Source organism: Homo sapiens, chromosome 7 (genome assembly GCF_000001405.40).
Source record: "Homo sapiens chromosome 7, GRCh38.p14 Primary Assembly".
Classification (NCBI taxonomy): domain Eukaryota; kingdom Metazoa; phylum Chordata; class Mammalia; order Primates; family Hominidae; genus Homo; species Homo sapiens.
In genome coordinates this window covers 6,907,162-6,922,567 of record NC_000007.14, presented here as the reverse complement: position 1 = coordinate 6,922,567, position 15,406 = coordinate 6,907,162, and positions in this window count along the sequence as shown.

The following is a 15,406-nucleotide window of genomic DNA, read 5'->3' as shown; positions in this document are numbered from 1 at the left end:
CAAGCTGTGAGAAATGAGCATTATCTCACAATATCTGCATTTTAGTGAAGCTGAGGGAAGAGTGTATTTGCTGGAATGACAGAAGCCTGAGAACCACAGGGGAATTCTCACTGCAGGGTATTCAGGGTCAAAGGCTGATTCTATTTTGCATGCTCAATCCTTCCTCAATTTATTTTTATTTCTTTCTTTATTTTTTGAGACAGGGTCTCACTCTGTCGCCCAGGCTGGAGCGCCTTTGTGCAATCTCAGCTCACTGCAACCTCGCCTCCTGGGTTCAAGTGATTCTCCTGCCTCAGCCTCCGGAATAGCTGGAATTTCAGGCACCCACCACAAAGCCCAGCTAATTTTTGTATTTTTAGTAGAGATGGGATTTCACCACGTTGGCCAGGCTGGTCTCGAACTTCTGACCTCAAGTCACCCTCCTGCCTTGGCTTCCCAAAGTGCTGGGATTACAGGCATGAGCCACCGTGCCTGGCCCTCAATTTTGTTTTTCTATTTATTTATTTATTTATTTAGAGATGGATTTTCGCTCTTGTCCCCCAGGCTGGAGTGCAGTGGCGTGATCTCGGCTTACTGCTACTTCTGCCTCCAGGATTCAGGCGATTCTCCTACCTCAGCCTCCGCGTAGCTGGGATTATAGTCATGCCCCCCTACGCCCCACTAATTTTTGTATTTTTAAGTAGAGACAGGATTTCACCATGTTGGCCAGGCTGGTCTCGAACTCCTGACCTCAGGTGATCCACCTGCCTTGGCCTCCCAAAATGCTGAGATTACAGGTGTGAGTCACTGCACCTTGCCCGTCAATTTAATTTTAATAAAATTATCAAGGAAATAAGCCACAAAAGGACAACGTGCAGACTTTAGAACAGAGCTGTCCAATAGAAATATAATGTAATCCACATGTGTAATATTAAATAATTTAGTCACCACATTAGAAAAAGTAAAAGGGGTGAAATGAATTCTCCTAGTAAACTTTATTTAACCAATATATTCAAAATGTTTTTATTTCAACATTAATGAATACTTAAAAATTCTTAATGAGATATTTTATGTTCTTTTTTTTTTTTTTTGCTCATGACGGCTTGGAAATCTAGTGTATATTTTACACTAACAGCATATCTCAATTGAGATGGCCACATCTCAAGTGCCCAGTAGCCACGTGTGGCCTGAGGCCATGACTCTGGGCAGTACAGCTTTAGGTGAGTCTAGGGCAGGGCAGAGGGGGGCACATGGGATCAAGTGTGGAGCCTGGGGCCTTGTTTAGCACCCTTTGGTGAGGGCACTTTCTTTCCATAAAACCCAGGTCAAGCGTGCCTCACAAAGGGGCCAGTGGAGGTGCCTCAGTTTACTTGGGAGCTTGGCCTCTCCAGCTTGCCTTCCTACTGCCTGGAAGAAAATTGGTGTCCTCTTGCTTTCTCTAGCCCCTTTCCCAAGAACCCTCCCAGATTTCAGTCCTATGAAGGGCCAGGGGTGCAAGGAGTCACCCACACAATGACAGGACCCACCAGCAATACCAGAAGTTGGCCAGCCCTACTCATCCAAATTCCTTTCTGCCAGCTGGACATCACAAGGATTTCAGACTGCCATCTTGTGGCAACTCCATTTTGGGGTCCGGGGGTGTAAGGATTACTGTATTAGTCCATTCTCACTCTGCTAATAAAGACATACCTGAGACTGGGTAATTTATAAAGAAAAAGAGGTTTAATGGACTCAGATCCACATGACTGGGGAGGCCTCATGATTATGGCAGAAGGTGGAGGAGGAGCAAAGTCACATCTTACATGGCAGCAGGCAAGAGAGTTGTGCAGGCGAGCTCCCCTTTATAAAACCATTAGATCAGGCAGGGCACAGTGACTCAAATCTCTAATCACAGCACTTTGGGAAGCCAAGGTGGGTGGATCACCCGAGATCAGGAGTTTGAGACCAGCCTGGCCAACATGATGAAACCCCATCTCTCATAAAAATACAAAAATTAGCCAGGAGTGATGGCTCATGCCTGTTGTCCCAGATTCTCGGGAGGCTGAGGCAAGAAAATTGCTTAAATCCAGGAGGCGGAGGTTGCAGTGAGCTGAGATGACGCCACTGCACTCCAGCCTGGGCAACAGAGTGAGACTCGGTCTCAAAAAAAGAAAAAAAGAATTAGATCTTGTGAGACTTATTCAATGTCATGAGAACAGCAGGGGAAAGACCCACACCATGATTTAGTTACCTCCCACTAGGTCCCTCGCACAACATGTGGTGATTATGGGAACTATAATTAGAGATTTGGGTGGGGACACAGCCACACCATATCAGTTACTGAGCTGGGCATCTTCTTCCTTGAATGCACATTGGCCTCTGAGGCACTTCCTGGTTAACCTCATTCTACAGCTGAGAAAACCCAGGCTTGGCACAGGCAAGGGATCTGACCCAACGTCTCCCATCTTATTAGTGGAAGGACCAAGACTGGACCCACAACTGTGCTCCTGTTTTGAGTCACCATGCTGCCCCCAAGATCAGATCTCAAAACAAGCAGACATGGGGGGCTCAGAAAGTCCCCAGCCTAGAACTTTCCTGTCACCCAATGACACTAAAGGCTAAGCTGGCTGCTTATTATTCTGGATTCACACTAGAATGACCTTGGGGTGTGTTTCACACATGCCGATGTCTGGAGTTTCACCCCCAGCTAACTGACTATGAATCTCTGGGTTGGAGCCTGGGCACTGATATTCATGCAGAGCTTCTGAGATGATCCTATTGCATTGCCAAGGTTGACATCTGCAAAAACATTGCACACTTTTTCATTCATTTAGTTATTAAATATGTAATATTTATTATTATTTTTCCAGACACAGAAGCGCTGCAAGAATAGTACAAAGACATCCTTTATACCCTTCGCTGACATTCCCCAGTGCTACCATTTTACCCCATTTGTTTATTGTTTTCTAAGTGGCAGAGGTGGGTGGATCACCTGAGGTTGGGAGTTTGAGACCAGCCTGACCAACATGGAGAAACCCCATCTCTACTAAAAATACAAAATTACCGGGGCGTGGTGGTGCTTGCCTATAATCCCAGCTGAAGCAGAAGACTTGCTTGTACCCAGGAGGCGGATGTTGCGGTGAGCCGAGATGATGCCATTGGACTCCGGCCTGGGCAACAAGAGTGGAACAATGTCTCAAAAAAAGAAGAACTGTTCTGTCTGCCAGCAAGAGAAACAGAGACTGCCCACAACTGCCAGGCACATTCCCTGGTGGGAAAGCTCTTAACGTCACTGGCAAGTGAGATGGATGCTGGCAGCCCTGGGGGAGCTGCATCTAGGTCTTTACAGGAATAGACGCTGTCTCTGGACTGGGCTTTGTTTGTGTGGTAGAAGATGCAAACTCTCGGAGTGCCATTAAAAACAAGAAAAAAGGCCAGACACGGTGGCTCATGCCTGTAATCCCAGCACTTTGGGAGGCTGAGGTGGGCGGATCACTTGAGGTCAGGAGTTCAAGACCAGCCTGGCCAATATGGTGAAACCCACTCTCTACTAAAAATACAAAAATTAGCCAGGTGTGGTGGCAGGTGGCTGTAGTCCCAGCTACTTGGGAGGCTGAGGCAGGAGAATCAATTGAGCCTGGGAGGTGGAGGTTGCAGTGAGCTGAGATGGCGCCAGTGCACTCCAGCCTGGATGTCAGAGCGAGACTCTTTCTCAAAACAAAACAAAACATAGATTCAAACATAAAATGAGGAGGAATTTTAAGACAGTAAGAGCAGAGCATTAAGCCACGCTCGGGGTCCCTCTCAGCATGGGGCACTGTGTGACTGCACAGGCCAAACACCCATGAATTCATCTCAATTTCCATCCCTCTCACACTCTTCCCCACTGCTGTGGTCTCAGCTGGCACCTTCCTCATTTCTACTCCGGAGGACTGCCTGTACCCTGATTTCTTCAAGGGTGTCTCCAGTCCATCAGACGCAGGCCAACCCAGGGTTTCTCTGCATTGCAATCCAACCAGCATCACCCCCCTGCTTACCAGCCTGCAGTAGCTCTCATGTCCCTTCAGGTTAAAATTCAGACTTCTTAGCAAGGCACTGCTTATTTCTCCAGCCTCTGTGACAGCCTCACACCCTACAATTGAGCTCTGCTGATCCTGGAGAAGTTCCCTCTGAGCCTTTGCACTCCTGTCCCTGCTACTTGACGGTGATTTCCACCTGGTTACCTCCTGGCGTCACCTCCCACCTGGAAGCCTTCCTCATCTCTGGGGTGGGTCAGATGTAGCCGGTTTTGCCCTCTTCCTACACACCCTGCGTTTCCTCTCTCCCAGCGTTCATCTCGTGATATACAATAAGCAATTGACTAATTTGTCCTTAAGACCAGGGCCATACCATGTCTTCCTGGTGACAAATGAGGGAGCAGCGAGCGCTTTTGCCCTCTAATGGCATCTCTGGATCACTAGCTGGAGGTCTTGGAACTCTAAGAGCCAAGCTATTCAAGTGCTACAAATAACACTGCATGGCCCCCGGTCTTTCCTGATTCCTCTCTGCATCTATCAAGAAGGAGCAGCTGTTTTTTGAAGCCCTTCTTTCCTTCTCATGGCTTTGCTCATCCCCACCCTGCTTGGCCTCCAAACTCAGAGCCTTAACTTTCCTATAAATACAGTTTCTCTCCAACTCAACTTGATTCATTCATGCAGGATCCTAGTTCTCTCTCTCTGCCTTTCCAATTCTCCTCTTTCCATTACATTTAAGAGAACCCTGGCTGGGCATGGTGGCTCACACCTGCAATCCCAACACTTTGGGAGGCCAAGGTAGGTGGATCATCTGAGGTCAGGAGTTTGAGACCAACCTGGCCAATATGGCAAAACCCCGTCTCTACTAAAAAACAAAAATTGGCTGGGTGTGGTGGCACATGCCTGTAGTCCCAGCTACTCGGGATGCTGAGGCAGGAGAATCGCTTGAACCTAAGAGGCAGAGGTTGCAATCACACCACTGCACTCCAGCTTGGGTGGCAGAGTGAGACTCTGTCTCAAAAAAAAACCCCAAAGCAACCAAGAAAAGGGCATTCATTTATGGTATAAGAGCGGAAACCAAAAGGAGCTCCTCGATGGAGCTCTGCTGGGACCGTGCATATCAGCCATTCAACCTCTTCAGCACTTGGCGCACATCCAGGAAAGCCCTGCTGGGATTGATTTAGGGGCTATAAATAAACATTATCAAGTACGTGAATTTACAGCTGCAGAATCTGCAGGTAATGAGGATTGATGGTAGATGCACCGATGAACTGGAGGTCAGATTTTAAACTGAACTGTCCAGGACATGGCCAGCAACCAAGAGCTAGAAAAAAGGATTCCTGGAAGGTGGTGAAGAAAATAGAAATCTTAGAGGCTCAGAGACAGACGAAGGTAATCCCTCAGCTGTCACCTGAGCTGTGGCTATAAAATGAGGCAACAGATTAAGAATTGTAAGCATAAGATTGAGGCCAGGCTCAGTAGCTCATGCCTATAATCCCAGCACTTTGGGAGGCCAAGGCAGATGGATCATTTGAGGTTGGGAGTTAGAGAGCAGCCTGGCCAACATGGTGAAACTCCATCTGTAGTAAAAATACAAAAAAAGTTAGCCGGGTGTGGTGGCGCACGCCTGTAATCCCAGCTACTTGGGAGGCCAAGGCAGGAGAATCACTTGAACTGGGGAGGCGGAGGTTGCAGTGAGCTGAGATCTCGACACAGCACTCCAGCCTGGGCAACAGAGCAAGACTACATCTCAAAAAGAAAAAAAAAAGAAAAAGAAAAAGAAAAAAAAGATTGGGACAATCAGAAGCAAACACCGTCAGCAAAGGAAGGATGAGGGGGAGTGAATAAAGGGTCCACAGGAGAATTAAGAAAGTGTGGGCCCTTGGGGTCATTCAGTGAAGCAGAGCCAGGTCACTAGTGAGTGTGCCTGGGAATCAATTAAGGATGAATATGAAGCTTGAGACCAGGGCAGCATAACCACCATTTAGGCGCCCGTACTTCTTTACATTTGCTGACTGTGTTTCTGTGAAATACAAACGAAGAAATGCTGTGACTTCCCCTCATTCTAAGGTGAAACCAAAGAAGGGGATACTGACAGACCTGTCCGAAGTCCTCCACCGAGCCAACAGGGAGGCTGGAATAGACACAGCCGGTCACCCGACCTGTTCTCTAGGCATGGCTTTTTGGATTTGCCACTTACATCTGCTTCAAGTTTTAGAAACTTCCAGGCTCTGGCTTTTTTGCTGCTTTGGGGAACAAAGCATGTTCAGTCAAGTGTACAGCAAACCTGTCTTGCTCCTAAATCCAGTCATCTTCAAAATAGATGTCTGAGGTTTATAGTGCTACTCTCCAAATGTCATTATCATCCCTAAAGTTAAAAAAAAGGTTTAATTATTATGAGCAGTGAAATTACCATATAGTCTTCCAATTCACTGAATAAGGCACCAAATAAGTGCCCTCAAGCCTTAATTTCTACCTTGAAGTTAAGGTAGGTATCATGATTACCTGGATCATCCTACACATCCTCAAAGTGGGCAGAGTTGAAAGGCTGTCTAAGCGGGTAGGTTGGAAGGTGGTGCCCTTCTCCCTCTTGTCTGTTTGTCGAGCTCTGTTGGTCCTTCTGACTGGTTAGCAACCCTGAGTGTTTCTGAGAGCCTTTTGTTGTATGTGGGGGCAGAACCACTAATCTGGCCAATTCCAAGCAGAAAAGATCAAGTACAGATTTCATATCTGAGTTTTAAATGCTAGTAAAAAGTTGCATGAAGTTATCAAATGCACTGCAATTCTGGCTTCATCGCCAAGTGGCTCTGTAGTTTGAGGATTATGCTGCATCCCGAAGAAAAGAAAATTGTTCCATTTAGATGTTTGGGGTAAAGGGGGATTGATCCAGTTACTTTTCAACTAATCTAAGTCAGATGGAGTTCGCTGCTTAACTTTCTAAGGTTGGTACTTGGTCAAAGAACAAGGTGATCATTTTTATAGGACTGAAGGCCTTTGGTTGAAAAGGCATGAAGAAGTTTCTACCAGTCCTGTTTGAAATAAAACAGTAGTGTAATCTAAAGATTGTAATACAAGACCAACACAGCACATTTAGGGTAACTTTTGAAAAATGCTTGACTGATGTGCTTCTCTCTCTCTCTCTTTCCGTAGACATGTGTGTAACATGTTACACAGAGAAATCTATAAGCCCTGGGTTACGTTGGTTGCTGATGAGGGATTAATCAGAAGCTACTACTCACTTATTCACCTTTGATCTGCTATTCTTCTGGTAGTCTTCTTCACTGTCTCATTCATTCAAGAACTGTTCATTGGGCTGGGTGCGGTGGTTCACACCTGTAATCCCAGCACTTCGGGAGGCTGAGGCGGGTAGATCATGAGGTCAGGAGTTTGAGACCAACCTGGCCAACATGGTGAAACCCCATCTCTACTAAAAATACAAAAATTAGCTGGGCCTGGTGGCATGCGCCTGTAATTCCAGCTACTCGGGAGGCTGAGACAGGAGAATTGCTTGAACCTGGGAGGCAGAGTTTGCAGTGAGCCAAGATTGCACCACTGCACTCCAGCCTGGGTGACAGAGCAAGACTCTGTCTCAGAAAGAAAAAAAAAATTGCATGGTCATGTCAGCATCCTCCCCACCCCCCCTTCCCCAGATCAACCAAAAAAATGGAGAAAAATCTGGAAGGCCACTCCTTTAGACCACTCATGCTAAGTATGAGTGCACACTCACAAAGCGTGCAAGCCAGCTATATTAGTTCATTCTTGCATTGCTATAAAGAAATACCTGAGACTGGGTAATTTATACTTGATCTTAGCCAAAAGGCTGAGAAGCAATGGGATTGGGTAATTTACAAGGAAAGTGGTTGAATTGGCTCACTGTTCTGAAGACTATACAGGAAGCATAGCAGCTTCTGCTTCTGGTGAGGCCTCAGGAAGCTTCCAATCATGGCAGAAGATGAAGGAGGAGCAGTTCTCTTACATGGCAGGAGCAGGAGCCAGAGAGAATGACTGGGGGAGGTGCCGCGCACTTTTTTTGTTTTTTTTTTTAGAGTCTTGCTCTGTCATCCAAGCTGGAGTGCCATGGTGTGACCTTGGCTCACTGCAACCTCTGCCTCCTGAGCTCAAGTGATTCTCCAGCCTCAGCCTCCCAAGTAGCTGGGATTACAGGCGCCCACAACCACGCTGGCTACTTTTTGTATTTTTACTAGAGACGGGGTTTTGCCATGTTGGCCAGGCTGGTCTTGAACTCCTGACCTCAGGTGATCCATCCACCTCAGCCTTTCAAAATGCTGGGATTACAGGGGTGAGCCACCATGCCCGGCCCCACACACTTTTAAATGACCAGATCTCACGAGGACTCACTCACTATCGTGAGTACAATACCAAAGAGAATAGTGCTAAACCATCCATGGGAAACCTGCCCCCATGATCCAGTTGCCTCCCACCAGGCCCCAGCTCCAACACTGGGGATTACAATTCAACACACAATTTGGTGGAGATACAGATCCACACTCTATCACCAGCCCTTCTGCTTTCACCTCCCCCGTTTTAGACAACCAGCGTTTGATTTGCCTGTTCCATTTCTGTGCCACATTATGACTCTGAAGAGGATGCCTCTCTGCCTATTGTTGGACATTATGGGCTGTACAGAGTGCTCCTTTTTCTGAAGCAATGACGTTGGCTATCAAGATTCATGCAGTATCTCCTTTTCTGTTTTTTTCTTTTCTTTTCTTCTCTTTTTTCTTTTTCTTTTTTTTTTTTTTTTTGAGACAGAGTCTCCCTCTGTCTCCCAGGCTGGAGTGCAATGGCACGATCTCAGCTCACTGCAACCTACGCCACCTGGGTTCAGGTGATTCTTCCACCTCAGCCTCCCGAGTAGCTGGGATTGCTTAATTTTTTTTATATTTTTGTAGTGACGGGGTGTCACCATGTTTGCCAGGCTGGTCTTGAACTCCTGACCTCAGGTGATCCGCCCACCTCAGCCTCCCAAAGTGCTGGGATTACAGGCATGAGCCACCGTGTCTGGCCTTTTTTCTTGTTTTTAATGGCACTCCGAGAGTTTGCATCTTCTACCACACAAACAAAGCCCAGTCCAGAGACAGCGTCTATTCCTGTAAAGACCTAGATGCAGCTCCCCCAGGGCTGCCAGCATCCATCTCACTTGCCAGTGACGTTAAGAGCTTTCTCACTAGGGAATGTGCCTGGCAGTTGTGGGCAGTCTCTGTTTCTCTTGCTGGCAGACAGAACAGTTCTTTTTTTTTTTTTTTTTGAGACGTTGTTCCACTCTTGTTGCCCAGGCCGGAGTCCAATGGCATCATCTCGGCTCACCGCAACATCCGCCTCCTGGGTACAAGCAAGTCTTCTGCTTCAGCTGGGATTAAAGGCAAGCACCACCACGCCCCGGTAATTTTGTATTTTTAGTAGAGATGGGGTTTCTCCATGTTGGTCAGGCTGGTCTCAAACTCCCAACCTCAGGGGATCCACCCGCCTCGGCCTCCCAAAGTGCTGGAACTACAAGCTTGAGCCACCGCACCCAGCGACAGAACAGTTCTTATTGGCATTTTGAGCCCAAGGGGCATGGCTAGATTCAGCCCATCTCTGTACTGCTGCAGAACGGCCTTGCTCACTCATTTCATGGGCCCAGGTGACCACCTCACAGGAGCACACAAAAAAAATCCACTTGGTGACTCCAGCCACCTCCTGAGCCTGGAAGGGAGTTTTTCTGATGGACGTGAACCTGTTCTACTTCAAGGCATCTTTCACCTCTCCACAGGGCTGTGCCCCATATGGACATCCGTTAATAAGCCAGGTGGCGATTGCCCTCTTGCCTGAGTGTACAGCCAAGACACTGGTCACTGCCCAGGAGTCAGTAAAAACCCAAACAGGGGACTTCTACCACTGTTCAACTGATCAAATATATATTTCACAATATCACACTCCTGTGGAACACTTTGGGACACATACCATGATTCTTTGAAAATCAGTTACTGGCATCATTCTAGTATAAATCAGTGGCTAGGAAAACAGCATGCAATTCAGCTCACTGAGCTGACTGATTTTTACCGTCTTTAGCCAGAGTAGCAGCCCTCCAAACAGGATGTTGTTTGTTCACCTCGAAATTGTCATCCATAGACCAAACAGCTGGGGGTGAGTGAGATGAGAGCTGGTTATATAGGGCACTCTCGAACTGTTGATAGAATCCAGCAGCTCCTCACTGTTCCAGAGTCAGTCATAGGAGAAAAGACGCTGCTTGCTTGGGAATATCTCCTCCCAGGTAGATTGATCCAGTATAAACCATTTCTGTCTTATTTTCTTTTCCTTCCTTCCTTCCTTTCTTTCTTTCTTTCTTTCTTTCTTTCTTTCTCTCTTTCTTTCTTTCTTTCTTTTTCTGAGATAGAGTCTTGCTCTTGTTGCCCAGGCTGGAGTGCAATGGTGCAATCTTGGCTCACTGCAACCTCCGTCTCACAGGTTCAAGCTATTCTCCTGCCTCAGCTTCCTGAGTAGCTGGGATTACAGGCATCAGCCACCATGCCCGGCTAATTTTTTGTATTTTTAGTAGAGACAGAGTTTCACCATGTTGGCCAGGCTGGCCTTAAACTCCTGATCTCAGGTGATACACCCACCTCGGTCTCCCAAAGTGCTGGGATTACAGGTGTGAGCCACTGCACTCAGCCACCTTCCTCATTTTAAGGACTCTTGTGATTATATAAACCCCTTCCAGATAATCCAGGATAATCTCCCCCACTCAAAATCCTGAACTTAATCACATCTGCCAAGTCCCTTTTTCCATCAATGTCTGGTAACATAATCACTGGTCCTGGGGATTAAGGCCTGTGGACATCTTTGTGGGCCATTATTCTGCCTACCACATGGACCATCTTTGACTTTCTGAACCTCCACTCACTTTTCTTTTTTTTTGGTTTTTTTGAGATGGAGTTTTGCTCTTGCTGCCCAGGCTGGCGTGTAATGGTGCAATCTCAACTCACTGCAACCTCTGTCTCCCAGATTCAAGTGATTCACCTGCCTCAGCCTCCCAAGTAACTGGGATTACAAGCACCTGCCACCACACATGGCTAATTTTGTATTTTTAGCAGAGATGGGGTTTTTCCATGTTAGTCAGGCTGGTCTTGAACTCTCAATCTCAGGTGATCCACCTGCCTCAGCCTCTCAAAGTGCTGGGATTACAAGCATGAGCCACCGCACCTGGCCCCTCCACTCACTTTTCTACCTTTTCCAAACAAGCTTCTGTCCCCACCCCCCATTCCATATGGTTTCAAAATGGTTCTTGATGGCCTCCATGTTGCTGAAACTATGAGGTTGTCCTAACTGTCCTTCTTCCTGACCTTTTGGCACTGTAGACCAAACAGCTTGAGGCATGGGCAGGCAGCCTGGAGGACCAGAGCATTTGGGTGATGGCTGGTCCTCATGAGCCTGTCCTGCTGTCACCCAGCAGCCCATCCTCGAAGTTTCCTTAAACATTTTTGTTTACATATCCCAAGTGGATAACCGGGTGAGCTTTCACACAGTAAAGCACATGCACGTCATGCAGATCAAGGAACTGGGCATGGCCAGCTTGCCTGAGCACCTCATTCTCCCCTCCCTAACGCTAGCTCCTCTCCTCCCAAAGGTAATGCTATCCTGGGGATAGGGAATTTTTTTTTCCTTTTAAATAGACTTAATGTGTTAGAGAAATGAAGCAGAGGCCAGGCGCTGTGGCTCACACCTGTAATCCCAGCACTTTGAGAGGCCGAGGTGGGCACTATCACCCAGAGTCCATAGTTAACATGAGGGCTCACTCTTGGTGTTGTACATTGCATGGGTTTGGACATATGGACAATGACGTGGATCCACCATTGTAGTATCACACAGAGTAGTTTCACTGCCTTAAAAATCCTCTGTGTTTCATCAATTCATTCCTCCTTTCTCCTGACCTCTGGAAACCATGGATATTTTCGCTGTCTCCATAGTTTTGCTTTATCCAGAATGTCATATCGTTGGAATCATACAGTGTGCAGCCTTTTCGGATGGGCTTCGTTCACTTAGGAATATGCATTTAAGGTTTCTCCATGGCTTTTTGTGGTTTGATAGCTCATTTCATTGTAGTGCTAAATAACATTCCATTGTCTGGATGTGGGCCTAGGCTTGTTTTTATTTGTTTTTGTTTTTTTGGGTTTTTTTGAGATGGGGTTTTGCTCTGTTTCCCCGGCTGGAGTGCAGTGGCACAGTCTCGGCTCACTGCAGCCTCCGCCTCCAGGGTTCAAGCAATTTCCCCACCTCAGCCTCCAGCGTAGCTGGGATTACAGGGGGTTGCCACCACACCCAGCTAATTTTTTGCATTTTTAGTAGAGATGGAATTTCACCATGTTGGCCAGGCTGGTATCGAACTCCTGACCTCAGGTGATCCACCCACCTCCGCCTCCCAAAGTGTTGGGATGACAGATGTAAGTCACCACACCTGGCCGGGCCTAGGTTTTTGAAGAAGTAATTGAACTGAGTGTAGGCCAGGTTGTACTGCTGAAGTGTCTTCTTTGTACTTGGAATGTGCTAGGACAGAGAGACTTCAAAGTGCAAAGCGCCTGAAGTATCTGGCATTAGTCAATTCTATGCTCTGAGCGTCTGCCCCCAGAATACCACTCTCAGAGTTAGAATATGGCAAGGCTGGTTGGATAGGTGGGGCATGGATTGGAGGCTCAGGCCGCTGCACTACACATATAGGTCTTGATGTAAACGGTCTGGTGGAGGTCAAGTTCTGTTTAGCGGGGATAGACTATGTGACAGAGTGAAGAAAGGTAATCGTCTAAACGCAGCAAAAGTTTCATTCCCACTCATGTGACAGTCTGTGGAGCAAGAAGCTCCTCTCCTCATGAACCTAGGACCCAGGTATCTTCCATCTTGTGGCTCTGCTTCTCCAGAGCCTTGTCATTTTTTTCATCTAGCTATGGTGACAAGATCTTTTGGATAAGCCATGAATATTAAACCAAAGGCAAACTCTGAAAATTGATTTGACGTGTGGTCAGCTGCTCATTTAGCACAGTCTGGGGAATGCTGGGGTGATGGACAAGAAGGTTTTCATGAAGAGGCTGAAGAGATCTAAGTATGGGGTGCCAGCCTGGGGCACTGCAGAAGGGGCACTGGCCTAGGGGTAGCATCAAGTTGACCCTGATTTCCCTGGGGCAGGGTGTGGCTCACGACGGGGTGCAGAGAACCCACCAAGAAGGCTGGAACTTTCAGTACTCATTGATTTATGAGGGCCTGCCTCTGTGCCAGGCAGGAAGACAGTGACCAGAGGCCCAGGGCCACTGAAGGGTCTCCGCCTGGTCTCTTGGTGCCTGGGGGGTACACTGTACAAGCGATGATGTAGTTCCAAGGGGCAGGACTCTGACCCACACTCTTGGTGCCAATGTCCGTTTTGCCACTCATGTCAGATTTTGCTTCTTTAAGTGAACTTACTCAGGATAGCTGGGTTCTTGGCCATTCTTCCAGTGGTTTTCAAGGGTGACAAAAGGAGTTTCAGCAAGACAGCTAACGTTTGGATGAGCGAGCCAGGAAGTATCTGTAGCCTTCCTCTAGAGAGTACTCTGGGCTGGTGGGCGTGAGGACCCCAGTTTCATGCGCATCCATGTGAAGAGACCACCAAACAGGTTTTGTGTGAGCAACATGGCTGTTTATTTCACCTGGGTGCAGGCGGGCTGAGTCTGAAAAGAGAGTCATTGAAGGGAGATGGGGTGGGGCCATTTTATAGGATTTGGGTAGGTAAAGGAAAATTACAGTCAAAGGGGGGTTGTTCTCTGGCGGGCAGAGTGGGGGCCACAAGGTACTCAGTGGGGGAGGTTTTGAGCCAGGATGAGCCAGGAGAAGGAATTTCACAAGATAATGTCATCAGTTAAGGCAGGAACAGGCCATTTCCACTTCTTTTGTGGTGGAATGTCATCAGTTAAGGCAGGAACCGGCCATCTGGATGTGTACATGCAGGTCACAGGGGCTATGATGGCTTAGCTTGGGCTCAGAGGCCTGACGTTCCTGTCTTCTTATATTACTGAGAAAAATAAAATGAAATAGTGGTAAAGTGTTGGGACAGCGAAAATTTTGGGGGACGGTATGGAGAGATAATGGACAATGTTTCTCAGGGCTGCTTTGAGCGGGATTAGGGGCAGCGTGGGAACCTAGAGTGGGAGAGATTAAGCTGAAGGAAGATTTTGTGGTAAGGGGTGATATCGTGGGGTTGTTAGAAGAAACATTTGTCGTGTAGAATTATTGTTGATGGCCTGGATACAGTTCTGTGTGAACTGAAAAACTAAATGGAATAAGAGAAGGAGAAAAACAGGTATTAAAGGTCTAAGAATTGGGAGGACCTAGGACATCTAATTAGAGAGTGCCTAAGGAGGTTCAGCATAGCCTTGTCAGCAAAGATTATTTATTTACCTCAAGAGTTAAGAGTGGAGGCTTGGGGATAGCACCAGGAGATATCAGCTGTGATGGCTTGGAGAAACAGTGTAAACCGGCAGTGTAAACAAGAGCAGGGCATGTATGAGTAGTTGAGAATGGTGAATAGGAGTATGACTAGACAGAAGACAGTAGGGATGACAAGTTTTTTTGGGGCATAGTCTAACTTGGTCTGGTGTCTGGAATGAGACTGAGGCCTAATAAAAAGGAGCGTCTGTACAGGAGCTCAAATGGGCTGTATTTTGTAGCATTCTGAGGACAGGTCTGACTTCTGAGAAGGGAAAGTGGTAAAAGTATTGTCCAGTCCTTTTTAAGTCGGCTGAGCTTGGTGAGGTGTGTTTAACATAGCCTGCATTTGCTGGTGTGTGGTGATTAGGCCTGGTGGAACTGCCATCAATAAATCAAGCATGATCAGGATGAGGAACAGGAAAGAAGGAAATGTGGGGAAATGGGGTGAACATCAGGTGGATCAGAGAGATGCAGTCATGGGGGTCATGTATGGTATCAGGAATAATGTGGGAGGCTGGACTGAAGTCCGGGCCAGGAACAATGGTAATTGTGGGACTTAACAAAGAGTGAGTACAGCTGAAGGAGCCGGGGCGCCAGAAAGTATATGCATCAGGTATGAGGAAGAAAATAGATTTTGGAAGTTATGAGAACTGTAGAGAGTGAGTTGAGCACAGTTTGTGATTTTTAGGGCCTCTAAAAGTATTAGGGCGGCAGCAGCCACTGCACAGAGACATGATGGCCAGCCTAAAACAGTAAGGTCAAGTTGTTTGGACAGAAAGGCTACAGGGTGCGGTCCTGGCTCTTGTGTAAGAATTCTGACTGCACTAACCATGCCTAGGAAGGAAAGGAGTTGTTGTTTTGTAAGGGATTGAGGTTAGGGAGATTAATCAGACACAATCAGCAGGGAGAACACGTGTGTTTTTATGAGAATTATGCTAGGATAGGTAACAGATGAGGATGAAATTTGGGCTTGACTGAAGTAATGG